Source organism: Homo sapiens, chromosome 1, assembly GCF_000001405.40.
Source record: "Homo sapiens chromosome 1, GRCh38.p14 Primary Assembly".
In the NCBI taxonomy this organism is placed as follows: Eukaryota; Metazoa; Chordata; class Mammalia; order Primates; family Hominidae; genus Homo; species Homo sapiens.
The window spans coordinates 47,814,616-47,842,392 of NC_000001.11; the positions used below are offsets into that span (position 1 = coordinate 47,814,616).

At 50.1% G+C, this 27,777-nt stretch overlaps 1 protein-coding gene across 12 annotated transcripts in view; it reads right to left on the reverse strand.

Moving 5' to 3' along the window:
* Positions 1 to 27,777, reverse strand: part of TRABD2B (TraB domain containing 2B) — a 236,858-nt gene that overhangs the window by 54,088 nt on the left and 154,993 nt on the right. The window contains exon 1 of one of the 12 annotated variants that reach the window (XM_047420060.1): positions 3,723 to 7,031. The exons of 10 other annotated variants lie outside the window; for them this stretch is intronic. In XM_047420060.1, the coding sequence (XP_047276016.1) occupies positions 3,723 to 3,779 (57 nt within the window). In that variant the 5' untranslated portion in view covers positions 3,780 to 7,031. Of the gene's footprint in view, positions 1 to 3,722; positions 7,032 to 27,777 lie in introns of those variants that run through there. One more of the 12 variants, XM_017001263.3, reaches the window with a different exon arrangement.

Consider the following 27,777-nt stretch of genomic DNA (forward strand, 5'->3'; position numbering starts at 1 on the left):
AATCTGGGCCCTCCCCACTCCCTTCCCTTTTAGGAATCCTTGAGCCCCACTTGAGGGAGCGGTTGGACAAATGCAGATGAGACCCAGAATGGCCGGAAGAAAAGAAGACTGCGTGGGACCCGCCTGGGACTCTGTGGTGCTGACAGTCCAGGGAACAGATACTCCTCCCAGGGTGCATCAAAGGAGACAGCTGCGCAGAACTTGGCCTCACAGACAAAACTAAAATGCAGTGCCAACTTCTGCTTTTTGCCTGTCTGAAGTCACAGGAGACACTTCCTGGCAACAGGATGGGAACACTGGAGACTCTGGCACTGCAAGAGACGGTCAGGCGAGGGAGGGTCCTTAGATCCTGCATGGGGCTTCTCGTTGTGCAGAGAGAACACTGAGCCCCAGAGAGGGCAGCAAAGTGCCCAAGGTCACACAGCAAGCCAGGGGATGCAGAATAAGGCAAGAACAAGGGATCGGTCTGCTTCATTTGGGCAGCTCGGGTCTCCTATGCTCCCTTATCCCCTCCTTCCCCCTACCACAGAAAGGGAAAATGTTTTTAGACCCAAGGCAAAAGAATGTGAAACTGAAATCTGAGCCTTGGGTCTTGGGAAAAGAACACAGAGAAGTCAGACACATTCTGGATGAGCACAGATCTGCTTACACTGCAGATGGGAAATACTCAGGGCTATCCAAGGCCTCCTTGTTGTGCAGGTCTGACCTGGGAGGGCGGGCTGTATGTGAGGCGATGAGAGCAGACAGGGGCCCTTGAAGGAGCAGGTTAAAGGGGCCAGTCTGCTTCCAGGATCCACCTTGGGCAGAGGGAGGACTGCTCCAGCCTTTTAGCTCCCTGCCCAGAATCTTCTCAAGGAGCCTCAGGCTCATGCAGGCATTCCAGCATGGACCTGCCACCAGGGACCCACCAGGTCAGAAACAGGGGTCCCTGCTGGCCACCACTTGTCCACAGCCCAAGCATCCATCCTGCCCCACCTGGAAGCTCACCTCCTCCAAGAAGGCCTTCCCTTCTGCTCCAGCCTTTATTTGTCTTCCTCTTGTGTGAGCTCCTGCAACCGGGAAGCACAGCTGCAGGCCAGAGCTTCTTTCAACCTGGAGTGTCTGGGGCTCCAAGTGACTGAGGGTTGTGTAAGAATGTGTGTGCACACATGTGTGGGCAAGAGAGAGGTAGAGATGGTGACAGAGATAGATAGATAGATAGATAGATAGATAGATAGATAGATAGATAGATAGATAGAAATAGAGTCAGGAGTGTGGACTGTGCTTTGTGTTATCCCAGCCATCAAGAGACCCAACCACAGACTTATATTCACACATGTAACAAGCATATGTGTTTGTTCTTGGTCAGGTGCTGTGCGGGGGTCCTGGGGAGACTGAGATTAATGGGACTTGGTTCCCTCCTTCCTGACACCAAGGAGCCCCATCAATCATTCTCCATGGTCTGGTCTTAGACTGACTTGCCAGGCCCTTTGTGATCTGGTCTGGCTGTTTTTGTGTCTTCAGCCTCACCCCCTTCCCCTCTCTCTCTTTTACTTTTACTTCTTGCTGCTGGAGGGCATGCACACAGTGATCTCAGGCCCTGGGGCCCGGGGTCTGGGCTGCATCTTGAATCCTGAGCAGCCCTGACCTGAGGTAGGGCCCACTGGTCTTGGCCTAATGGGGAAAGGGCATGCTGTGTGTGGGTGAGACCACGGCACTCTCCCAGGCTCAAATTCCCCATGGCTCCCCTCTGCCCTGGGAATAACCATGAACTTCTTCAACATGGACTCTCAGAAGTACTTGGCAGGGACCTGTCTGTCTCTCTGGACTCCTCCTGCTCCCTAACCTCCTTGCTTTGGGTTTTTACTGCCTTCATGTGCCGCCCATATAGTTTTTTTGAATGTGCAATTTGTTTCCTGCTTCAGGACCTTTGCACATGCTGGTCCTTCTGCCCGGTATGCCATTCCCATCATCTCTCCCCTTTGCCTCCTTAACTTGTAATATTTCAGACAGTTGCTCAAGTACCACCTCCTGCACACTCCTTCCCTGATCCCCCAGATCCACTCAGGGGCCCCTGTTTGAAGCTCTCCTACACCCTGGACTCTTTATTCAGAGTACTTATAATGGTTTGTCTTTATATACTTATGAGGTTAATCATTTGTTCCATGACAGGGAGTATGTGAAGTTTGTCACAAGTATTTCATTCAAATCCTGCCAACTCTGTGAGGTGGTTCTCAATTTTATCCCTATTTTACTGGTGAGACAAAGGAGGCACAGAGAGGTTAAGTGACTTTCCTGAGGTCACACAGCAAGTAAGTGGTGGATGAATGAAAATAGTCTAGCAATTTTAGCCATGTGCCAAACAGTCATCTACCGACTTCTCTGCAGATGTAACGAGAGTGGGGGCTATGTCAGCTTTACTCATTCTCGTATCCCAGTACCTAGTCCAGGACCTGCCATTTGTAGCCACTCACTAAAGGGAAAAAGGGAATGGAGGAAGGAAGTGGGAAGGAAGGAAGGAGGGGAGGAGTGGCTGGTGTGCCAGCTGTTAGAGAGATATCCTTGAGCAGCCTTTCCTAGAGGGGCGGCCTCCAGAGGCCATGTTTTCCATCCCCCCCAACACCCCTGCCCCAGCTCCTGGATCCAGGAGAGCCAGTGTTCAAAACCAGTCAGTGTGCTTTCTCAAAAGAGGATGGAAGGAGCACACTGGGAACCCAGATGTGAACCAGAGCACTCCCATCTGGGTTCCCAGTGTGAAGCCAGGGCAAAAGCAACAGAACCTCGGGATTGGGGGCCCTGAAACGGTGCGTCCAGGGGTCCTCAGCTGTGGAACCTCCCTTTTCAAAATACCTCCCCTTCCCTCTACCTCCAACTCCCACCTCATCTCCTTGGGGAACATGCCTCAGCTACAGGGAGAGACATGTCAGTGTAGTGACAGGGAGCTCATCACCTGCCTGGCTGCTCCATGCCCTCTCGGGGCACGGATGTCGGCTGTGAAGAGGACCTTCCGTCTCTGGTCCTGAAATCTGTCCCCAGGAGGCTTCATCTCTGCTGGGGGAGCCCAACTCCACCCAGCCTGCTCCCAGGACTGATATCTGCTCCTCTAGGGATGAGGGCCCAGTCCCTTCACGGGCTCCTCGCAGGACATGCAAGGAGGCCTCACTGCTCTCTCTTGTGGCCAGACTCCCACCATCCCCAGCCACACCCAGACCGAAGCTGTCCAGAGCCGCTCTCAGGGGCCGTGGGCCCAGGAGCAGGCCTGGGAGGTCAGCAAGCCTGGGAGGCTTCCACCCCAGCTCCTCCACCCCCGTTTGAAGGGGATCAGGTTCCCCCACAAACATAATTGAACGAAAATATGAGAGAGAAAAGGTCTTTGTTCTCCCATTTACAGCGTCAGAAAATATGTAACAAATTAGCCGTTTATGAGGTAAGAGAGCAGGGCTGTGTGCCGCCGCGGAGAGGCAGGGCTGCGCATAAGGGGGCCTTTCAGCCGGCTTCAGGGGGCGGCCAGGCGGGCAGGCGTTGCGGGGGACCGGCTCTGCCCCAGGCCTGCCAGTATGGCCTGGCACCCATGGGATGGAGGGCTGGGAGGCCCTGGTTGACCTCTGGCTTGGACTCTGGGTGAGGCTTGGCAAATGGGGACGTGATGCCCACCAGCTCATGATGCACACAGCTCTTGGAAGTCAGATGGCCAGGATGGGGAGTGGGGACCACAGGGCTTGGCTCCCAAACATGCCACTCACCTGGTCCCCTGAGTAACCCCGAGTCCTTCTTCTCCTTCTTGGGACCTGTTTTGCCATCTCTGACAGGAGTGGGGTGTTCACAATGATATCTAATAGTTTGTCCAATGCTCTTGGGGCACCAGTGTCCAACTGCACGGACTTCAATATCTTCCCTGCTGGTTTCTCTGAAACTTAGGAGCTGGGAGGTGGTTCTTGGTATTACACATGACTTTCCTCTCAAACACCTTTGATTTCTCTTCCAAGGTTTGATGAAGAGTTCCAGCGGAAGCATCAGCCAGTCATTAATTCCAGGGGAGGGTGCACGTGGAACCAGAAGGGGTGGCTGGCCAGGCAGGAGGCTGTCCCTCACCAGGGAGAGGAAAGAGCGCTCCTCTCTCCAGCCTTGCTGTGGCCTTTAACTTGCTTCACTGGGTGTCCAGAATCACAGGCGGGTGGAATGACAGCAGTTTGAATGACACCTGGTAGGCAGACAGTTTGGTATTGAAGTGCTGGGATTTCACATCCTCTGGGTTGTCTCGCTGTGGCTCCGATGCCTTTGACGTGAACAGCTCACAAGTCCATCACTCGCATTCTGTGGCGTCTGGCCATCTCCCAATTTGGAGTTTCTGATTCTGTGGTTAGACCTTATGTTTCCAGGGCCTGGGCTTTTCATTCTTTCTAATTTTTTAAAAATGTATGATTATTGTCTAGAGACATTATTTTTAAAAAGTATAAACCATCCCAGTGCTGACAAGCCTGTTGTGGGGAGGACTCAGCGTGATAAGGCATCTCAGGGTGCTGGCATTTAGCCTCCAATACAATCTAGCAGGGCTAGGGCACAGGGCCAGCGGCCACCCTGCAGGCTCACAGGGACAGGATTCCGCTCTGCAGTTAGCCCCAAGGATGGGACTCTCCAGCACTTTTCCCTCCAGTCGCTCCAGGGCGGGAGGATCACGGCCCATGCCAGTGGAGTGTAAGGAACCCCCTGGAAAAGCGGGGCGCTTGAATATCCTGAGTGTTTGGTCTGCAGTCACCAACACATCGCTTTCCTGGATCTGATTTTATTTATTTTGATTGGATCTTTAACAGCTCTTTACAAGGCTGAAACCGAAGCCGCCTGAGGTCCCCAGGAGGCTTGCTAAAACTTCAACTGCACCCAGTTTAGCAGAGCAACTTGAAAGTTAATCAGCGGTGAGGGACAATTTGCCTCATTATTTCCAGCCCTGGAATTTGGCGGCAGATGGAATTTGGGGCCTGGTGTGGACACGGCAATGAACACAGCAAGGACTGTCGCCCCTTGGTATGGCCTTGTGGGGTCTGGGCCTGGATGGGCTGATACTCCCTCTGAAGACGGGCGGTGCCGGGAAGGATTTCCCACTTGAGAGAACAAGGGCAATCAGGCTGCCCTATCTCAGGTCCAGGCCAGTGTGGAGTAATCCTTAGATACACAGTTCTGAGCACGTATTCGGGCTGAACCCTGCACTGGATTCTGGGGAAACAAGAGTGGAATCCGATACAGTTGCATCCAATATAGGACGCAGACCAGAGACACTGGGGTAAATTCTCACAGGAGAGGAACACCTGTGGCTGGCACCTTCTGCATGAATCTGCGAAAAACAAATCTGCCCCACTTGCCCTCACTTTCTCAATAAGGTCCACTCAGACCCTTGACTTTAATGTTAACCCCCTCCCAGGCACTCCCACCTCCACACTCTGCCATACTCTCCACAGCACATAGCACTGACCACCTTCTAACACACTATGTTAGTTCCTCACTTATCATGTTTATTGTTTATCACATCACCTTCCACAGGAAGGTAAGACCCTCCTTCCATGAGGGCAGGAATGTTTGTTTTGTTCATTAGTCTATCTCCAGCCCCAGCACATATGATGCACTCAATAAATGTCGTGTGAACAAATGAATGAACTGTGTGGCCTTTTATTACCTGTTACCAGTCCCAGGCCCTCCTATGTAAGTCCAGTCCCCCTGAGCCTCCATCCTTTCAGCAGCAGGGTGCTGGTGCCTAGGGAGAAGGCAAGGTGGTGCTTACACAGCAAGTGAAATTGCTTACTTTACAGAAAAGCTCAAAGAGGGGCAGGGGCCTGTCCAAGGTCACACAGCACGAGAACACATGTTTAGACAGACCGTGGGATATGCCTGGGCCTGGCCTACCTCAAGCTTGGTGAGGTACCAGGAAAATGCGCCTAAAAGGAAGAAGTGGAAGCTCTCAGTGAGGTCAGCAGCGGTGGGCAGGGCTAGGGCCCCTGGCTACCGGGGCATCCTTTCCCACCCTGCTTTTTTCCCCAGCCAGCCCTATGCCCTCACTGCTTCCAGCACCCTGTGTCCTGTGACTCAAGGGCCCACTTTCCCCTGTTGGTCTCATGTCCGTCCTCCATCAACAGGTGGGAATAGCAACGTTAAGGCAACAGATACCATTTATTCAATACTGAGAAGTTCACACACACCACACACACACACACACACACACACACACACACACACACAAAATCTTACTTACTCTTCCCATAATCCATGAAGGAATTATTATTTCAGTTTTTAAAATAATAAGACTACGGCTCAGAGAGGCTGAACAAGTTGCCAAGGTCACTCAGGTAGTAGCAGGAAGTTCTGACCTCAAAGAGTTCTTTCCTTCCTCCTGGACGTTTGGACACCCACCGTCCTTGCATCCTCTGGGCATCTGTGTATCGTGATGGTGCCCCTGTCTGGGTTCCCCTCCCCTTGATGCTGTCTTGCAGACCGCTCCCTGCAACATGAGCACAGGCTCTCACCCTCTGAGCTGAAACGGCCTCCTGTTTCTCCCAGTAGTGTTCCAGAAATGCCAGGGCATCATTTTCACATGATGGTGCTACAGAGGCAGCAAGCCAGTCAGTGGCACCCACCAGTGGCTGTTCTGTATAAGGCTCTGTGCTATGGAGTCTTGAGAGGTGGACAGAGAAACATATTAGCAGTCAGAGGCCCTGGGTTCAAGTCCCCCTGAACATGGTTAGGGACAATCAATTCACCCCTCTGAGTGTTCCATGTTCTCATCTGAAAAAATGGATATAAGAAATCCCAGGACTGTTTGAGGAATGGTAGGGGCCCACAGGAGTCTGACTCAGCTACAGGACTTGGCTGTGGGAGCAGAAATGAATAGCCCCAAATATCAGGACTGGAAGGAACCCGATTGTTTCTCCAGGGCGGGAGTTGCCCTGGCAATGCCCCTGACAGGCAGATGCTCAGGGCTGTGCCATGCCTCTGTGGCAGGAGCTCAGTATCCCCAAAGCAGCCTGCCACATCCTTGGACCACTCCCACATCTAGAATGCTTTTCACACTGAGCTTGACCCTGCCTGCCTGCCTCAGTCCAGCCCAGTAGCCCCTTAGAACTTGTCTGCACCCTGTGATCCTGCAAAGGCCTGCAGAGATTTAGGGCAGCAACCACCAGTGTCAGCCAGTCCTTCTCCAGCATGGATTCCAGGATGCCCCTCAACCCTGGTCACCCTCTTTGTACACCCTTCAGGCTGTCATCATCCCTCTTCAAAAGCAGCAGATGCAGACATTTGAGGAAAAAAATTATTCTACAGGGGGTGGAACAATGAGGCACTGCTGATTAACTCTCAGCCAACCAGAAAATGTAACTGCCTACCCCTGGAGCACTGGGTAATGTGTTCTCTCGTAGACATTCACACAGAGACGTGCACAAACACGTGCATGCACACACTCTCAGTCATATTCATACTCTAAAACACACCACTGACATCTTACACAAAGGTACGTTTCATGTACAGACACAAATAGATGCACACAGACCTCTAGGCACATGTGTGTACACGTACACACACACACACACACAAACACACATACACTCCTCCAGTGGAGATTCAGCTCACCCCCGAGGCCTGACCGATCCACTACACATTGCTTTGGGCTCTCTTCCTCCTTCCCACACATCTGTGGGCTCACTGTCGGGAAAGAACTCTCCACCTTTCTACTCTGGGCATCTATAAGTCCCAGAAATTAGGCCCCTGCCTGGTTTTTAGGTTCTGGAGTGAAGTGCAGATACCACCTCAACTATCTTGGGACTCAAACAGGCTTTTCAGTACAGTGCCTGCTGAGCTCTGAGCTTCCCTGTCACAGGGGTGATGAGGGGAGGGGGGCAGGTAGAGAATCAGGCTGTGGAATCAAATTTTCTGGCTTTGCCACTTGCTCACTCTGTGACTCTGGGCCAGTCCCTTGACCTCACTGATGGCATTTTCTCATCTGTAAAATGGGATGTCTTTCTTGCAGGGTTGCTGTGAAAGTTGGAGCTAACATACATACTATGCTTTTCATTTGTTAATAACTCTTTTAATCCTATAAGGTAGCTACTCTTATTATCCCCATTTCAGAGATGAGGAAACAGAAGTTAAATCACAATACATGGTTGTGATGATAATTTGTAGCATTGCCCTTTCCCAAGATGCCTTTACATTTTAGTTCTAGCAGCTGAGGGTCAGGACACGAGTAATAAGAACACACTTGTAAGCACTAGCAACTCCTGATCCAGGTGGTCTCGTAGAAGGCTGTGGTTCCATCCAGCATGTCATCCAGAGAGAGTGCCACCTGGCCACACCCTCAGCTCCTGGATTATCTGAGTACCTCCAAGGTGCCATCTTCCCTGAAGGCCTCTCATTCCAGGGGTGGACTCCTTCTCCACCCTAAGTGAAGAGTGGTGATGGGGACATGATGCTGGTGAGGCATTCAGGGCACTGAAGTGAGAGATGGGGCCGGCCTGGCAGATCCATCTGTGTGATAGGGTCTTGCTGTGCTCATGCATCCCCTGGGACGCCACAGGTTCTTGCCTGGAGATCTGCTGCAGGCTGGGAAGGCAGAGGTACTGAACATGTAGCTGCATGGGGGAGGCAGACGGCAGAAAGTCTGCCAAGCTGCTGCAGTGTCAGCACATTCTTGGAACAAATGCACTGAAAGGCTGGTCCTCCGATTCCACTTCCAAGTGAGAATCAGGACCTTGCTGTCCCAGCAGGTTCGTGCCTGGGTCACTGACTGGGGCTGGAGGCTTCTGGGGGAAGAGGAGAGGCTTCAGAGCTCTGCCAGCTGCCATTCTACAGAGGCAAGCCCCTCCGGCCCCATCTGGCCTCCCTGACCCAGGGCGCTGGCCTCTGATTGCATTCCCCTAGTGACAGGGAGCTCATTAGGGCCTGGGGCTTTGGGGAAGGTTGTTCCTCTGTAGGCATGCCTGGTTCTAGAGAATGGATATGTGTGTTTGCTGGGGCTGTCAGAGCAGGGGGAGGTGCAGACAAATGGGGAGGAGAGAGGCACATCCTTGCTACAGACTGAGAATGGGGTGGTGAGAGAGAGGCCTTCAGCCCGGCTGAACAGGAAGGCAGAGACTTTGTTACAGAGCAGCAGCATCCAGGCAGCCGAGGCCTGTAAAGATCTTCCTTCTAGTCTAACCCTCTGGGTTTTCACAAGGTGGGACCAAGGCCCAGCATCAAAGTCTGTCGATTCCTACTTCAGAACTCTTTCTGTGGGGTAGCCATGAAAGGGGTGAGATTTGAGGGGCTCCAGGAATCACTACCAACATCAACAGGGCTCTTCTGGGGCCTGCCTGCAATGGCTCCTTGCTCCCTCTGTTTGGAAGGTTGTAGGTGCCTGATAATGTGGACAGCTTCTTGGGTCCCCTGCTTGGGGGAATGGGTGTATCCCAAGCCTGGAGGCCTGATCGCTGTCACTGGCCTTCAGAGGAAAGTTGGCAATTCTCTCATCCTTCCTGAGCCTGGATTTCCTCACGGTGAAGTGGGGGCTGCTCCTATCTACTGCACAGGGTTGCTGTGAGGGTCAGTGACACATAAGGACATCACCCAGCACAGAGCCAGGCTCGCTCGTGTCCTCTTTCCTCACTCCTTTTTTTGGAGAAGGCAGTGTCTGGGCAGGCCCAGCTCCTTAGGCAACACAGATGGGTAAATCCAGTTCCCGCCAGTTCCACAGAGGCAGGTCTGGGGGGAATCTTTCAGCAACGTGAGTTACCAGCGCCCCCTCAACAGCCTGCAAATTCAACCCTGACTCTGACGCCCACCTACTGACCACTCACTTTGTGCTGTACATGCCCTTCATCCCATGCTGTAACTGGTCAGACTGGTCCAACAAACCTGTGGGTGGATGGGGTTAACACACCCACTTCACAGATGAGGAAACTGAGGCCCAGGCACACAGTTCACCTGGTAGGCAGAGGAAGTGGCACTCAAACCCATGTCTGCCTGACTTCAAAGCCCATGCCCTATTCATTCTGATCTCAAACTTGCTGGAAGCAGAGGACACAGGCAGAGAAGACCTTTGTGGGAGAGAGGCCCCACAACCAAGAGGCTGAGAGCAGGTGCAGGATGAATTATTGAGGGTGACATTCGAGGCTCCTGGCCCTTTAATAGTTCCTTTCCTTCCTCTGTGTTCCATTGTTTCCGGGCCCAGAGCTGCCTGTGGAGCTGCTAATCATGGGCAGTTACCAGAGTGGCACATCATAAATAGTCTGTAAAGGGCCCAGGGAGCTCAGCCCACACCCTCAGAGCCAGGCAGCACCCTCCAACATATGCATATTCACACGGCTGCCCACAGGAGGAGGCCAACTTGGCCAGCACAGCCCTGGCTTTGCACTGTCTTCTTCATGGTCAGAAGTCCCTGCGACGAGGATGAACCGCCAGCCCAATTTTACCCACGGGGGAATCTCAGGCTCAGAGAGAGGGGTGACTTTGCCAAGGTCACAGAGCGGGCTGTGGGAGGAGCAGGGACTGGATGTCTTTGTTTCACAGAACAACATGAGCAGGAATAAAGGCAGGCCCCACTGTGCTTTCCAAAGCTCTTCCAAATCTGGGGTCTCAATAATTCTCACAATAGCCATTTTGCAAATGCAGAGAGTCAGGCTCAGAGAAAGAAAGTCAAAGTCCATCATGAGCCCTGCTGATGGAATTACCTTCCCACAGCACAAATCCAACAGCACTGCCTTGCTCCAAAGCCCCGTGTGGCTCCCACTGCCTCCTTATCCTCCACAGCCTGTCACCTCCTTTTTACATTCACTGTCCCCTCATTCACACCATGGTTCTGAAAAGCCAAATAACAACTCATGAGTCTCCCAAGACCCCATTCTCTTTTACTCCTCCACACTTCTGTTAAGCTATGCCCTCCACCTAGAAGGGCCTCCTGCCAAACCTCCACCTGGCTGACACCCACTTGCACTGAGCACCCATCATTCTTTACCTGTGGGATTGGATGCTGAGCTCTGCCAGGGCAGCATCCTTGGCACAGTTCCCAAAACCCAGCCTGGTGCGGAGTAGGTGCCCAGAAAGGCCCTCACTTCAAGAATCACTGTCTATACTCTCAGAAGGCACCCACCCTCCCAACCCTTAGTTCAGGAGGTTCAGGAAATCCTCAGGGTGGGCACTGAGCCGGGAGGAAGTGGCTGAGTTCCCAGCATGTAGTTCTACTCTTAAGGAAGGGAAAGCAACTCCCTGAGGCTCTAACAGTGTGTAGGGCCTTGGACTGGGAGTCAGGAGCCTGGGTTCATGTTCTGCCTCCACCACTAACTTGCTGTGTGGAACTGGGCAAGTCACCAACCCTTGCTGGGTTTTGGTTTCCTCATCTGTTCAACAGGGAGAGGTTAGAGGTTTCAACAGAATGGAGACCAGGTCTGTTTCCTCACCAATGCAGGTCCCCCATGCCTGGCAGATGATAGATGCTCAGGAAACATTTATTTACCCAATGGCAGTTGGGCAAGTGAGGTTGGAAGGTCGCATGTAGTTTGAAAGTCTAGCAGCCCAACTGGCTTGAAGGGGACTGTGGTGAGCTCCATCCATCACACATACATCAAGGCAGAAGGGCTGGGCTGGAGCTGAGCCACAGACTTAACTGTGGTCAAAGGAGAAATACCTATCTTTCTAGTTGAAAGGACATTTCTAATTTTACCATTGTGTTTGGTTGTGGTTTAGCTCATGACATATAATTTATTTAATATGAAATATATTTAAGTGGGGTGCAAATCTGGGGTCTCACTAATTCTCACAACATCATTATATCATATATCATTACACATGTGATATATAATGTATTTTACATATGTAATTTATTTTAAAATATATATTTATTTCAAATAAATAAAAGAGAGTTTGAGCTGCTCAAGTTGCATTAAAAGGAGCCATGATGTTAAACATACAAAGAGTTGAGAAACACTGTCTTGGGTGAAGGGACGTTTCTAGGAGCCATTTTTTTGGTGGTGGTTTGTTTTTTTTGAGACAGGATTTCACTCTGTTACCCAGGCTGGAGTGCACTGGCGTGATCATAACTCACTGCAGCCTCAAACTCCTGGGCTCAAGCAATCCTCCTGCTTCAGCCTCCCGAATAGCTAGAACTACAGGTGCGTGCCATCATGCCTGGCTAATTTTTAATTTTTAGTGGAGACGTGATCTTGTTATGTTGCCCAGGCTGGTCTCAAACTCCTAGCCTCAAGTGATCCTCCCTCCTTGGCCTCCCAAAGGGTCAGGATTACAGGTGTGAGCTACTGCGCCCGGCCTAGGGAGCCATTCTTGGAGAAGATGATGTTTAGGAAGTCATCGGGAAGTACTGGGGCAGGACTCTTGAGTTCTATTTCTGTAGTGACCCCCACACACTGTGGGGCCTAGGGCAAAGATGGGGAAACCTTTGGGGCCTCATAGTCTGGCTCTGCCAAGGTGTCCACACTCCATGGAGGACTGAGTATGAATGGGTGTGTGACTGTAGGGTGGGGAGGGCGAGGATGCAGCACGGGCCTCGCTGGGGCTGCCAGGGATGCCACCCAGACTCTTTACTCCCTGTAATGCCATCTATCCCAGCAAGCTCCCCAAACTCAGCCTCCGGCTCACAGGGTGTGTAATGGAGGAGACAGCCAGGGAATTCCCCAGCTCATCAGCTCAGGGCTCCGGAAACATGAATGCATCAGGGAAATCTGCAGGCAGTGCCGAAGACACGCTTGATTTCTCAAATCGAGAGGCACATTTTCAGCATCTGCATGTGCTCTGCAGTGGGACCACCTAGGTTGGAATGCCTCTGTCTGTGTGGCCCATGGCAAGACCCTTATCTCTCTGCTCTGCATGCAGGGCCTTTAAATTGCTGGGACATGAAACATTTGGGGTGGAGCTGGCCAAGGGAGCTCCTAAAAGATCCAGAGCCTGAAAGAAGCATTTCCCTCCCTTCAGATTCACAGCACCTGACTTGTCTTGTTTGTGTTGAGGTCAAGGCCCACAGCCCTGAGGAAACAAACGGCAAATTGAGAAGGGGCCTATTAGGGAAAAATAATCAGAACAGCCACTTGTCACTGCTCTGAGAATGGGAGCTGAGGCCCCAGCAAGGGACAACCACCAACACTTTGGCCCACAATGAGGTACCCCCCTTTTTAAACAGGAGGGATTTAAACAAGGTTTGAGTCCACTTTGGCCCACAATGAGGTACCCCCCCTTATTAAACAGGAGGGATTTAAACAAGGTTTGAGTCCACTTTGGCCCACAATGAGGTACCCCCCTTTTTAAACAGAAGGGATTTAAATAAGGTTTGAGTCAAGCTGAGCCACCACCACCTGGGGACAGCTACTCCAAGGCTTAGTCAAGTGAGCTTGGATGCAGGGGCATAAAGGGGTGGGAGTCCAGCAAGGTCAGAAGGCTTGGCCACCCTTCAGCCCGGGCATCTCAGGCTAGGATCCTCAGTTTCCTCCTGTTAACTGGGGACAATGAGCCCTTCCTTGCAGGCCTGCCTGAGGTATTAACAACATACATACAAACGGGAGCATAAGGGCTCAGTCCAGGGCCACACACAGTAGGTGCGACCTAGATAGCCGATGTTTCCTCCTTCTCTCTAGGGCTCCTGGGTTCTAGCTCTCACCCTCTGTGGTCCCACCCCCATGGGCAGCACTGTCCCCCTCGCTGGCTGGTCCTTGGAATTCTGAAGTCTTCCAAACTCCCCTCCTTCCTCACAAACAGGCTCCTGAACTGAAAATCCCCCACCAAGTCCCTGGCGTCCCCCTATGTGGGTGAGGGGGACAGTATAGGCAGAGGGGTGAGTGGCGACCACATCACTTGCCCCTCCTGTCTTCCCATCCCCTTTAATTGTGCTAGAAAGTCACTGGGATTTGACAGTGCACGAGGGCCGCTCAGTCAGCAGCTGCTGCAGCCTTTGAGGAACATATGACCTACGGTTTGTAGAACAAATAATAAAGGAAAAATACTCAGCAAATGATTCCCTTTTGTGGCCAGAGCATGCCGAGGCCAGAGGTATAAGTCCCTTTGGTCAGGAACTCTAAGTGGCCCCTTGTCAGGATTTGGGTTCCCAGAGGGGCTTCTTCATCCTCAGCCTCTCTCAGAAGCTGCCCCTGGTATTTCCTATTGTAGATGGACTGAATTTAACCCAATAGCAACATTGGGTGAGCCTCAACATTAAGCACCCACACCCTAGAAAGTGGAGCCCTTAAAAGATCAGGGAGTTTTAGACTCTCACGTGACAGGTGCCACCTAGAGCGGTCTCACAGCACACAGGTGGCAGAGGCAGGGCTATGACCCAGCCCCCTTCCCCACGAGCCTCTCAAGCTCCACAGCCTGCCTCCGTCCTGTGCACACCTACTGTGCGTCTGCATCGGCCAATGCTGCGGATGCAGGAACCATGGCTGGAGGACAATGCTCTCATTTGATGCCTACCCTGAGCCTGTGATGTGGGGAGGGCAGGGAGGGTCATTACTGCTGAGGAAACTGAGGATGACTGGCCCCAGGGACCCCAGAGAGGTCCTGTGCCTGACTTGTCTCTTATGTTGGGACATCAGTATGGGTCTGGTCTTGGCTTTTCAAATGCTTACAAGAGGCTAATTTTAAATATCCCAGGGGACAAGAAGGAAGGAATGTGCTGGCTTCTCAAACCTCGAGCTGCCCATAGAGTTCTTCTTTCAAGGAGCAGTCTCCAGCCAGTTCCTGGAGGGGCTTCACTTACCCCCACTCCCCTGGGAGAGGGGCTCAGTTAGGGCAGGCTGTGAGCGGAGCCCAAGTGTTTAGAAGCTGCAGCTTGAAGAACCTGAGGTTGCAGCTCAGCTCCTACGCAGCCTAGGAGTGACTGCTGGCATATCACTCCTGTGCGCTAGACTCCTCACTGTCGATGGCGTGCATAATCCACATCCGTCTGCAGGAGCAGATGCCCTGGGCTGGGGTCAGCCCGGACTCCATCCTCTCCATCACCACTCCCTGCCAGATCCCCAAGCCTACCTCCCAAATCTTCAACCCAGAACTCCTCTCTGTCGCCACTCCCATGCTCAGGCCACTTTCCTGGTCCTCCCTTCCTTATCCTGTCCCCTTCACTTCACTCGTCATCAGTTCTAAGATTTAAATTGGAACACAAGCACCTATGGCACATTCAATGACTTCCCGTGAATAAATTCATGCATGACACTTAGGACATTCTAAAAAATATTACCAACCACAAAAAGTCCTTTACTGCACCCCATTGTTCTTAGGAGAAAGTCAGTTTTGTCACTGAACACTGGGGCCAGTGGCCCCCATGGCCACTTCCTCTTGGTCTCTTGTCACTACTCACCCCATGGTTTTACCTGGCTATACTGGGCTTCTTTGTGTCAGGCCTTCTCTGGTCTCTGGGCCTTAAACTTTCTTCTCTCTTCCCTGCCACCCCCCAAGCCTCTTCCATGACCCCCTCTGCCTAAATTCCATCCGTCCTTAGAATTCCCAGCTAAGTATTATTCTTGAGACCCTTTCCTGCCTGGTCAGAAGTGCTCCTGTGCTCTTGACTCTCCATCTGCTCTTCTGGGGTCTTACTGCCTTGCCCCAGGATGTCCCCCTCCCAGATGGGACCTCCCTGAAGGCAGCAGCATCGCACCCTCATTCACCCCTTGCCCCGTTCCCAGCCCCAAGGATGGGCCTGGCCCAGAGGATGGCCCTCAATACATCTTTGATGAACACATGAAAGACAAGTTGCCTGTGATAACATTAAATTCTAGACCCTTGGGGAGACAGTAAGGACAGAGAGATCACAGGGGCTGCATATGCACCAGGCATTTGCTACCAAGAAATGAAGTGACTTCGTAAGTTCACTTGCATGAGAAAACCCACCAAGCTGGGAATCAGAAGGAACTGGGTTCTAGTCCCAGCTCTGCCTCAAAGCCAAAGCACCTTCATTCTCCAGGGCCTTGGTTTCCCCTCCTAACAAAAGGGATGTGCCCCTCCCTGCTTTGCACATCTTTGAGGATTAAACAATGTAAGAGTGGTGAAAGGAGGCTTTGACAAGTACAAAGCTCTAGTCAGACATATAGGATGACGGATATTATTCAGGCACAAAGAGAGGTTTCTCCAAGGCCTGTTATCTCTTTTTTATTTTCTTTCAAGGAAATGGCTTAGCCCAGCCTGCCTGCATTATTGTTGGCACTGTGAGCCAGGGAAAGACGGAGGCAAAGAGGGAGAAGGAATCTTTAAGAGAGACTCTCTGGGGGACACTAATATTTTTAATAGTTTGTGGGTTATGAAGCAAATCTCTGTTCTCTGTATTATATATCTCAGCTGAGCCCGAAGAATGTTTCCAGCGTCTTTAATGAAACTGAAGCAGTAACCCAGCAGAGAGAGAGAAAGGCAGAAAGAGGAGATTTATTTGCAGAGATGTTTGCTCAGAGAAAGGTGAAAGCGACCAGAGAGGCAGGGGGCCCGACTGAGCCACATTCCCCCAGCCCTTGAGTGCCCTGATTCTGTCCTTGGTTGCCACGTGTCCTCACCTTTGAAGAGTATAGGCAGCTACGTGTGCTGGTCTCCTATCCCCATGGCTGGGGGGTGCCTATGCTTTTCCCTCTAATTGTCTGGAGACGGGGGGCAAACTCACCAACAGTTGGGAGGACTGGCTTTTACAGCACGTAAGAAAGCCGGCTGTAGCCCAGAGCCTCGGTGGGAGAGCAGAATTATTAATAGGTCCTACTGAGGCCTCGGGAAAAATGCAAGACTGCATGGAGTTTAAAAGGTCAGCGTGAATAACAAAAACAGACTTTCTGGGGAGTCAGAATGGATTTAAAATACACTCAGAGGAGCCTGGGGCTCCTTTGCTGCTGCGGGCGCAGTGTGAACGTCTTTTGTGTGTTCGCAGGCATGTGTGTATACACCTCCAGGATCTGCAGACATTTGTCAGCTCCCAGGGAGCTTGCAGCCTCACAGGGTGTGTGCTCTGGGCAACTTTTAGGTGCCAAGAATGGCAGCTCAGTGACAGAGCTGCTGTATGCTGGGTGATCACTCCCCCCTCTCTTTATAAAGAGAGGAGAGTGGATTAATTGGTCTTAAGGACATTTCCAATTCGAAAGTCGAAGCCGTGGAGGATGGAGAGAACCTTTCAAATCACCAGCGGGTCGCAAACTGGCTAGGTGACTCTGGGTGAGTTGGCATGCTCCTTGGCCTGGGTGTGTAGTTCCCACCCACAGCTACTGCAGGACGACTGGCACACGGAGCACCTGGCTCTTTCTCCTCTTGCCAGGCTTCTTCTTCCAGTATGTCGTCGCTCATCCTTTACTTGAACTTTGGAAGACTCATTCAATGAGATGAGTATTTACTGAACACCTACTGTGTGCTCCAAGTGCTGTTCTAGGCACTGTGATACAGCAAAAAAACTCCTATGGTCTGGAGCTTATGTTTTATGATCACTGGTGTCTGCCTGTCCTGGAGTCATGTGAGTCAGACTCTTAAAGAAGAGGTCGGGCTGGGCGCAGTGGCTCATGCCTGTAATCCCAGCACTTTGGGAGGCCAAGGCGCGCGGATCACGAGGTCAGGAGATCGAGACCATCTTGGCTAATGTGGTGAAGCCCCATCTCTACTAAAAAAATACAAAAATTGGCCAGGCATGGTGGCGGGTGCCTGTATTCCCAGCTACTTGGGAGGCTGAGGCAGGAGAAAGGCGTGAATCCGGGAGGCGGAGCTTGCAGTGAGCCAAGATCACGCCACTGCACTCCAGCCTGGGCAACAAGCAAGACTCCGTCTCAAAAAAAAAAAAGAGGTCAGACGTGGGTCCAGTCCGACCAGTCATGACCACAGGGGAGGCACATCATCTCTCAGAAACTTGGCTTCCTAAACTGCAGAATAGGGATAACAATAGCAATCCTGTTTTGGGGGGGATGATTTAAATGCATGGGACTAGCAGGGGCTTAGCAAATATTTGTTAGTGGATAACTAATAGGTACCAAAGCATTTACAAATTTAAATGGCTATAATTCTTCCTTCCTCTCTCCCTTTCACAGTCTTCTGCAGGTGCTGAAGGGCTGCACTGTGACTATCAGGAAACCCTAGTTAAGTCCCAATAATTTTATAATAGTAGGGACTAACATTACTTGAGCACCTGCTGTCTACAAGTCTTGACGCTGGGTGCTAGGGGCACAGAGAAGAATCTGGTAGTTTCTTTGTTCTTTTTATATTTGGTGTGGTTAGGGAGACACAGTTGCAAATAGTCACTAGCTATTTGGGGCTCTCAGAGTGGGGCAGGGGGAGGCACGGGAGCTTGTGAGGACCTGGGAAGGCACCTAACTCTGCTTTGAGGAGCTGGGAAGGCTTTGTAACTCCCTGAAAAAGTGACCCTCCACCTGGCTGTCACAGTCATAGGCTCCTAGTCTCAGAGGGTCCTTATTTAATAAGATCCTCCTGTTTATTTTACAGCCATAGAAATTCAGACCATATAAATTGTGTGGTAAGTGGCAGAATTCATTAGGATTGACTCCCAGGCTTGTAACCCCTTGAAACTTGTATTTTAGCAAATCAGAATTCATTTAAACACAGATGCTTGGACCAGGCAATGATGTAGTCAGCACTGATGACTGGAATCCCAGGCTCTGTGGGGGATGGTGGCAGAGAGGTTCTGAGCCAGGGAGTCTTGATCTGACTCCTGATTTGCCAAGGAGTTCTGAGTCCAGATTTACCTGACCCTGGGCTCTTAGGTAGCAGGGGAAAGGACATGTTACAGGTGAGAAGAAGATGTGGAGTTAAGATAAAGTCTCAGGTCCTACCTGGCTGAGCAGGTCAAAAGGTGCAGCCTTGAAAAGAGGTTGAAATTTAAAAACTAAAACCAACTTTCCCAGATAGGGCAGTAGCATTTGGTTGAGTTAAGATAACCATGACCCTGGTCAAAGATCTGGCTGGGGAATGATCATTGGCAGAAGAGGTTGTCAGGAGACAGAAGATGCTGGGATGGGTGAACACATGCCTAGTCCTTCCCTCTTGGTAGCTGGAGTAATCTGGAGTCTCACTGCCTCTAGTAACATTTACCTGTTTTTCAGTCTACCTTAATCATGCCCTTCTGAGGGCTTCTATGACCCTTATAATACCCATACCTTTTGCCACTTAGTAGATCTTCAGGACATTGCCTTCTGCATTCTCTTACATCCAGCTTGCCCTTTCACACCTGTATATCCTGCCTCCTGGCAAAAGTGGAAGGAGTTGGATATCAGTGAACCATTTGGTGGACTAAGGACCTCTGAAAATTCTCCCCTTCATAAAGCAACAAGAACACAGACAAAAATGGTCAGAATAAGCTTTTTCAGAACTCTGGAAATTAACCAAAGGCTTGCGGGATTCCAGGGAACATTAATCAGCAAAATCTCAGTAAAAACAGTAAGCTTTGTGGCATTTTAACTTGCCCTATTACCCATACGCCTTCTGCAGTATCCTTGAAAACCAACACCTGCAATCCCAGTGAAAACCAGCAGCCTGGCAGTCACTGGCAAAGGAAAAACTGGGTTGGAGCTCCTTCAAAATCCCATTCCCAGACAACTATCACTGTTTGACCCATCTGATGGTTCTCTGGAAGATCCTACCCTCAATGCTGTCTGTATTTGATCTGACCTAAAGCTTGCTTTGTGCTAACAGCATTTTCCCCAGGGGCGTTTGTTGCAGACAATCAGAGTCAAATTTTTGAACATCACAGCAGCCTGAGGCATTCGAAAACAGCTGGATCATACAAGAGACTAACCAAAAAGCTTTAAAGGAAAAGCTAGGAAATAAGATGTCCACATGGGCTCTGAGAAGCTCCAACATATTCCTGAGAATCTAGAAGGCTGCATGCAAGCATAGGGCTGTGTAAATGCCCAGAGCTATGTACATGCTCAGGAAAGACCTGAGAAGGCTCTAAGCTCTCACCTCTGCTAACCTTGAGGCTTTAAAACAGGAAGTGCAGGCTAAGGCAGAGTTGTAAACTGCATGGATGGGTGTTAAGGATGTGCTCCAACACACACACACACGCGCACACACACACACACACACACACAGAGCCCTTCAGCAAAGACTGAGGGACTTACTGGTTCCAGACGTTTAAGTAAATCTCTGTCTAATCATTAGCTGATCACAAAGCTAACTGAGCAGAGACTTCAATGGCTTTACAGACTTTACAGAATTAGTTCAGAAAAGTCATTAATTAAATAGTGACAACAAACAGCAAAGGCAACAACAAATCCTGAGAAGGGAAGAGAATCTGATTTCCAGATTTGCCACATTATATTCTTTTAAGTGTCAAATTTTCAACAAAAATATTACTAGAAATACATAGAAACAAGAAACTATGAGCCATAAATAGGAGAAAAAAGCAGTTAATAAGGAGTATCTTTGAGGAAGTCCAGAAGTTGGACTTACTAGGCAAAGACTTTAAATCAGCTATTTTAATATGATCAAGGAACTAGGAAACCATGTCTGAAGAACTAAAGAAATGTATGAGAATTATGCCTCATCACATATAGAATAGTAATAAATAAACAGAAATTATTTTAAAGAAAGAACCAAATAAACATTCACATATTGTATAGTTGAAAAGTACAATAACTGAAATGAAAAATTCACTAGAGGAGCTCAAAATATTTCAGCAGGCAGAAGAATCAACAAATTTGAAGATAGGCCAATTGGGATTATTCAGTCTGAGGAACAAAAAGATAAAATAATTTAAAAAATGAACAAACATGGCACACCATCAAGTGTACCAACATATGCATACTGGGAGTTCAAGAAGGAAAGGAAAGAAAGAAGGATAAAGGATTTTGATGAAATAATGGCTGAACACTGCCAAAATTTGATTTAAAAACATTAATCTACACAACCAAGAAGCTCAGTGAACTCCAAGTAGGATAAATTCAAAGAGATCCACACCCAGACATATCATAATCAAGCTGTCAAAAGCCAAGGACAGAAAGAACCTTGAAAGGAGCAAGAGACAACTGAACCATCATACAGCTCAGTAAGATTAATGGCTGATTTCTCAACAGAAATCATGGAGGCCAGAAGGTGATATATTAAAAAGTGCTAAAAGGAAAAGAACGTCAATGAAGAATTCTATATCCAGCAAAACTATCTCTCAATAACAAAGAAGAAATTAAGATATTCTCAGATGAACAAATATTGAGATAATTTGTAACCAACATACCTTCCCTTCACTAAATGCTGAAGTGAATCATTTAGGCTGAAATGAAAGGACACTAGACAGCGACATAAACCCAGGAAGAAATAAAGGGTACCAGTAAAGATAACTATGTAGGTAAGTATAAAAGACAGTACAAATGAAAAATGAATTTTGAAGGGTTCTGGTTCTTAGTTCATTTCTTCATTTGTGACTTTTTTCCACTGTCTGATTTAAAAGGCATAAAAGCAGTTATAAATCTATACTGATGAGGTACAAGGATGCAATTTGTATGACAATAATGGCACAAAGGAGGAGGGAGGAAAAGGAGCTACACAGAAAAAGTTTTTATATATTATTGTCATTAAGTTGATATTAATATGAATTTATAATTCTCGGGGCAACTACTAGGAAAACTAACTCAAAATGCAAGTAGTCATAGACCTGGGTTCACATGAAAAAGCTGTCATTTCAGTCTAGATGACCTTGGGCAAGTAATGCCCCATTTTTGAATCTTAGTTTCCTTATCTTTCAAATGGGGATAACTATGGACAATCCAAGGTTTACCTATATCCCTAATAAGGTAATGAGTGTGCCATGCATGTCAAAGAGAAGAGACTGACCTCCAGTGGACTGTGGGAGGCCACCCTGGTGGCCTGGCCTGAATCTTGCCCCTCAGCCTTCTTAGCTGTGTGGCTTGGGGCAATCATTCAACTTCTCAGGGCCCCAGTTCCTTCTTTTGTGCAAAGGAGAAACAACAGCCCCTCATCTAGAGACTGCATGGAATTATGTGTGTTGTCCTTAAAGCAGAGTGCTTGGCATATAGTAGGTATCCAATAAATGTTGGTATCCAAGAAATGTTGGCGATTATTCTTAACTGTGAGCAATCCAAGAGGGCAGTGATGCCTTCATAGACAGAATGTTTTTGTCCCCTCAAAGTTCATTGTTGAAACCTAATTCCCACTGTGATAGTATTTCTAGGTGGGGCCTTTGGGAGGTAATTAGGTTATGTGGGCGGAGCCCTCATGAATGAGATTAGTACTTACAAAAGAGACCCCAGAGAGGTCCTTTGCCCCTTCCACCATATGAGGACACAGCTAGAAGACTGCCTTTTATGAACCAGGAAGCACACCCTTACCAGACACTGAATATGCTGGTGCCTTGATCTTGGACTTCCTGGCCTCCAGGACTGTGAGAAATAAATTTCTGTTGTTTATAAGCCACCCAGTCTATGGCATTTAGGTCCAATAGCCCAAATGAACTAGGAAACCCTCTTAATCTGGGGTCCCCCAAAGCCTGTCATAGAGTGGCTTCCTATTAGGTGTGGTGTTTGTTCACTGAACTGAAATTCACTGGCCTTTTTGTCATCCAGAGAGAAGCCTAAAATCCTGTGAAAGTTCACACCACAGGGGAGAGCACTGGGGCTCAGGAAGCCAGGGCTGGGATGAGAACAGTTGCTGGTGGGATCCAACCCTCTCCCCTGCTGGGCTCTGGGAGTCCACAGCCAGGGCCAGCAGTACAGTGGACTCCTTATGAGGAAATGTCATAACCTCAGCACCAAGAGGGAACAGATCTGCATTTTTCCCACATTAGGACGTCTTGTTAAGAACGGGTTCTTGGCCCTGACAGATATTTGGGATCCAAGGGTGACCAGGCCTGTTTAAAATCTCTTAAAGGAACCCTCACACTCCCTCTACCCAATGCAGCCCCATCTCCTTCACAGCCGATCTCAACAGTCTCCATTTCCTACTTCCCCATCTCCTACCAGATCTAATTTGACTTCCACCCAGACCCTCCCTGCCTCTGCTCCCGCCAAGGTCCCCAAGAGCCTCCTGTGACTGTATCTGAGTTCAGTGCCTTGGACTCGCCTCCTGTCTGTATCACCTTGACCATCAGGCCTCTGCAGGGCGGAGAGAGAGACGAACCGGGCTTCTGAAGAATGCACATTCCATGGCCCGAGTCCTCCTGAAAACTCTGAGTGATGAGCGGAAAATGATTCCCGAGGGCAATTATTGCACTAGGTTTGCACAGCGGTGCAAATAAGCACGAAAAAAGGAAGAATGTAGCCTGCTATGGGCCAGGCCTTTTCCAGGCCCCTTCCATGGGTTTCCTCATTTAATACTCACAGCAACCCTAAGAGGCAGATACTATTATAGCCCATGGTTCATCTCATGAGGAAACCGAGGCACAGATAGGTTAAATTATGTGCTCAAGTCTACAGAGTGAGAAGGTGGAGCCAGCACGGGGATTCAAGTAATCTCAGGGCGAAGTCCAGCCCTTAACCAGAATCCCATGTAACCTTTCAAGGCTGGACACCTGCCCTGGGCAGGCCGGCACAGCCCTGCCTTTGTGTAATTTAGGGCCAATTTACACAGCACTCAAAGGAAGCAGTGTGAGACAGTCTGTTTGCAATGAGACTTTGCCACTGTCCTCCCTCTCACCCTACCCCACTTCCAAGAACACTGGTTTCCCTTTGTCAGACACATCCATGGCTGGTTTCTAAGCTAAGCTGACCTTTCTGGAAGTCATTCATCCAGGGACCCAAAGGCATCTGGGCAAGAAGGCAAATGTTAATTGTCCTGCTTGGAAGATGAGGCAGGGAAGGCTGAGGCTTGAGATTATCAATGCCCATAGCAGAATGGACTTCCCAAGGAGGTGGTGAGCATCCATCTCTGGAGGAGGGTCAGCAGGGTCTGCAGCCCAAGAAGAGCGGCTGCAGCTCATGTCTGAGGTTCCTGCAGGCTCTGTGAGGCTCTGAGTCTGTCTGCAGCTTGCTGGCTGCTTTTGGGCACTTCATTAACTTCTCTGAATCTTCTGTTTCCTGGTCAGTAACCCAAGAGTGTTGAACAATAGTCCCTAGGGTCAGTTACTGCTGATAGGTTTAGATATTCACTTCCAAGTCATCCACTGAAGAAGACTAAGTCCCTTTGGTGACACTTGTAAGGAGACGCAGTGTAAACCACAAATGGTCAGTGCTGGAAAGACATGGCTATCGACTGATGCAGTCACATGGCTGACAGATATGATGGCTGACGCCCAGAAGAGTAAGGGACATACTGAGGGCCACACAGCAGATTCAGCACACTGGGGCCTGACCAAGAAGAGAGGAGGAAATGGAGAAATGAGCAGTCCAATCAGAGGGTCAAGGCTGAGCCCTAAATACTCCTGAGACGAAACGGGAGAGATGTCCAGGCAGGGGCGAAAGCTGGAGCTCCAGCTGGCTTGCGGCCTGGGCTGTTTCTGTCTGCCCTTGTTACTCTGATACCCTCATGTGGCGGGAGGGCACTGGGTTGGCACGGAGGCCATCAGTCCTGGTCCCCATCTGCTGTGATAAGCCACACCCTTGGCGTCAGGCCTTGTGGGATAGATTGGAACGCTGCCTTCAAGACATTGTGGGATAAGGTGAGATCATGGATGCCAGTGCTCTGGTGACAGGACGTTATACAATGGAGTAAGCGTTACCCGAGAGGTCACAACCCCACCACAGAGTCTATTCTCAGAGAAGAGACTACTGCATAAAGGCCAGGGGCCTGACACACACACCCGTGAGCAAGCAGAGTGGGCACGGGGACATATGGGATGGCCTTTAGCTCTGTGCACACCTCCACTGCAAGTGCTAGGAGCCTGCCCCCTCACTCCCACCACACACACACACTCACCCACACAGAAACACATTCACTCACACCTAACCAGTCCCCCAGTGAGACTGATTCAGCCTCTTCAATGTCTCTGGATGCTACAGCTTTCCCTTTATCAAGCTGACACTACCTGGCTTCAGGCCTCATGGTCCTCCACCCAGAGTAGTGGATCAACCTCCTCTCTGGATCCCTGCCATCCACGCTCCAGCCTGCAGCCAGAGGGAATTTATGAAATGCAAACTACACCTCTGATGGGAAGGGCAGAGAGAGAATGAACTGAGGCTGTTCAAACCCGAGGGTCTGGAGCAGGCCCAGCTCCTGCATGGAGTGCGTGGGAACTTTGGGCAACACTGACAGTGTCCTCGCCATCATCACTGCTGTTACTATAATGGCCAGCAATAAATGATGAGGGGAGGGCAACCGCTTAACTCCGGTCACACCATTTAATCTCTCTCTGTGACTCTCTCCATAGCAGTAAAGCAGAACCCCTGGCTACCTGGTAGAATAAAGTTGAGGGTGGGGAGCTGGACATGGGCAGTGTTGAGTGCTGTGTCTGGCTGCCCCCTCCATCGATGGCCAAGCTTGTTGCTGCCACTGTCATCAGCCTTTCTGTAGGTCCAGGGTAGTGTGGACATCTCCCCTGTAAACTGTGAGTTCCTGGAGAGTGTTTACCTCCTCGGATTCTGTTCTGGGGCCTGGGGTGCAGCCCAGGGCCTAATGAGAGTCTGGGTTTGCTGAGTGAACAATCGGAGGATCTTGGTCTCTGGACCAGGACCATGAGTCCTGGTCACTATCACAGCAGATGGTGGGCACTATCATGTAGGGACTGGGGAAGTTAAGCACGCTCACTCCAGGGCCGTCCTTTCCTCAGTCAACAACTGATGGGCACTCGCTACATGCTGAGCCCTTTCACATACATTGCCTTAAGCAGTCTTCGACAAGGCCCCCAGAGGTACGTATCATCCTTTCCATTTCCAGCAGTGGAGACTGAGGCCCTCAGAGATTCAGTAACTTGTTCAAGGTCACACTAGTCAAGCTGGTAAGTGGTACAGCCATGATTCCAAGGCAAATCCCCTGAGTCTTCCTCTAACATTCTTTTCTCTGCTTAGACAGACCCTATAGGCCCAGCCTCCTGTCCCTCCCTGGTCCACAGCATTCTTTAGAGCACTCATGTTGGCAACAGAGTTTGGCAGACCCACTGGGATTAATTAATGACAGGCCTGTCTTCAGGGTGGCCCTGGTGGCTATCGAGGCTGCTTCATACCTGTTGATTACATAATCCATAAATATATTTGACATCTTTAATTGGAATCAGGCCCCCCCAGGTCCTGACCACAGTTGAGTTATGAGCTCCAAACTCCCTGCTGGCAGCACTGAGCTTCTGCCTGAAGTGGGGCCCAGGGAGAAGGAATCAACTTGGGGCGTGATGACATTTCTCAAGGATTAAGAAAAAGAGAAAAATTTGCTGCTTAAGTTTAAGGATGGAGATTGTCCTTAAGCTCTGTGGCTGTAGCTCACCTGCCAATTCCATCTCCCCTCCTCCAGAAAGCCTTTTTGACCTTCTGAACCCTGGGCTGCTGGACCCATGTGACAGGGAAGGAAAGAGAGAGAGAATGAATGAAGCCTATTCAAACCTGACAGTCTGGAGCAGGCCTACCTCCTGCGTGGAGTGCTTGGTGACCTTGGGCAACACTGACAGTGTCCTTGCCATCACCACTGCTGTTACTAAAATGGCCAGCAATAAATGACTGACGAGGGGAGGGCAACTGCTTAACTCCTTAACTCATTTAATCTCTCTCTGTGACTCTCTCTCCATAGCAGTAAAGCAGAGCCCCTGGTTACCTGCTGCCTGCACCCATTTTGGTTTTGCTGTAGGGCCTTTGGACTCTCTTGCTAGAAAACTGGGTAAGGCACACAATTTGCCTTACCTGTCTTGTCTCCTAAGGCAGGCCAAGGCTTTCCCCAACCCAACACACATACCAGATGTTGCAGCAACAAGATAAGACTCCCTGCTCCCCTGGATACAAGGTTTTCACCTGTTCCTATATCTGCAGGGGCAGCCAGGCCAGCGCCTGAATCCCTGAACTGTCACACAACCCACCCCTATCTTCTTTCACTCACTCTTTCACTTATTCATTCATTGTCACTGAATGCTTACCACTTGCCAGGCTCTCTGGGAGGTGCAGGAAGAGGCATGGATGGGGAGTTACACTGCCGAGGAGCTCCTGGTCTAGAGGAGCCCACAGCCCGGTGGGAATCATGTCAGCAGAGAAGCCAGGGGAGGCACAAGCCAGGGACTAATGAGCTCAGCTTGGGGAGGGGCAAGGTGGAGGAAAGGCAGGTTCCCAGAGCCAGGGGCAACCAGTTGAGCAGTCTTTCTGGACAGGTCTTGCAAGGATGACCCAACCTTCTCCTTTTCTTTTCTTTTTCTTTTTTTTTTTTTTTTGAGACAGAGTCTCGCTCTGTCATGCAATGGTGTGATTTCAGCTCACTGCAACCTCTGCTTCCTGGATTCAAACAGTTCTCTGCCTCAGCTTCCTGAGTAGCTGGGATTACAGGCACCTGCCACCATGCCTGGCTAATTTTTTTGTATTTTTAGTAGAGATGGGGTTTCACGACCGTGGCCAGGCTGGTCTTGAGCTCCCAACCTCGTGATCCACCCGCCTCAGCCTCCCAAAGTGCTGGGATTACAGGCATGAACCACTGCGCCTGGCCGAAACCAACCTTCTCCTTTGCCTTGTTTGATAACAAAGCTGGCTCCTGTGAAAATTTAGACAAAAGGTTTGTAGAAAGTGCCGGGCACAATGTAGCTCTTTGATTTTAGCTTCCCTTTCTGAGCTTTTCCCCATCTAGACTCTCATAGAGAATGGTGATACTGGCAGGGTGCACTAGGGTAAAAGGCAGAGGCTGCCCACGGTTGGAGGCCACTGATTCAGGGGCTCTGGCCACCTCAGAGTTCGTTTGACCACCCCCAGGGCTCAGGGGATCACATTTTGGCTCACCTTGCCTCAGGGCAGTAGACTCCATCTGTCCCCA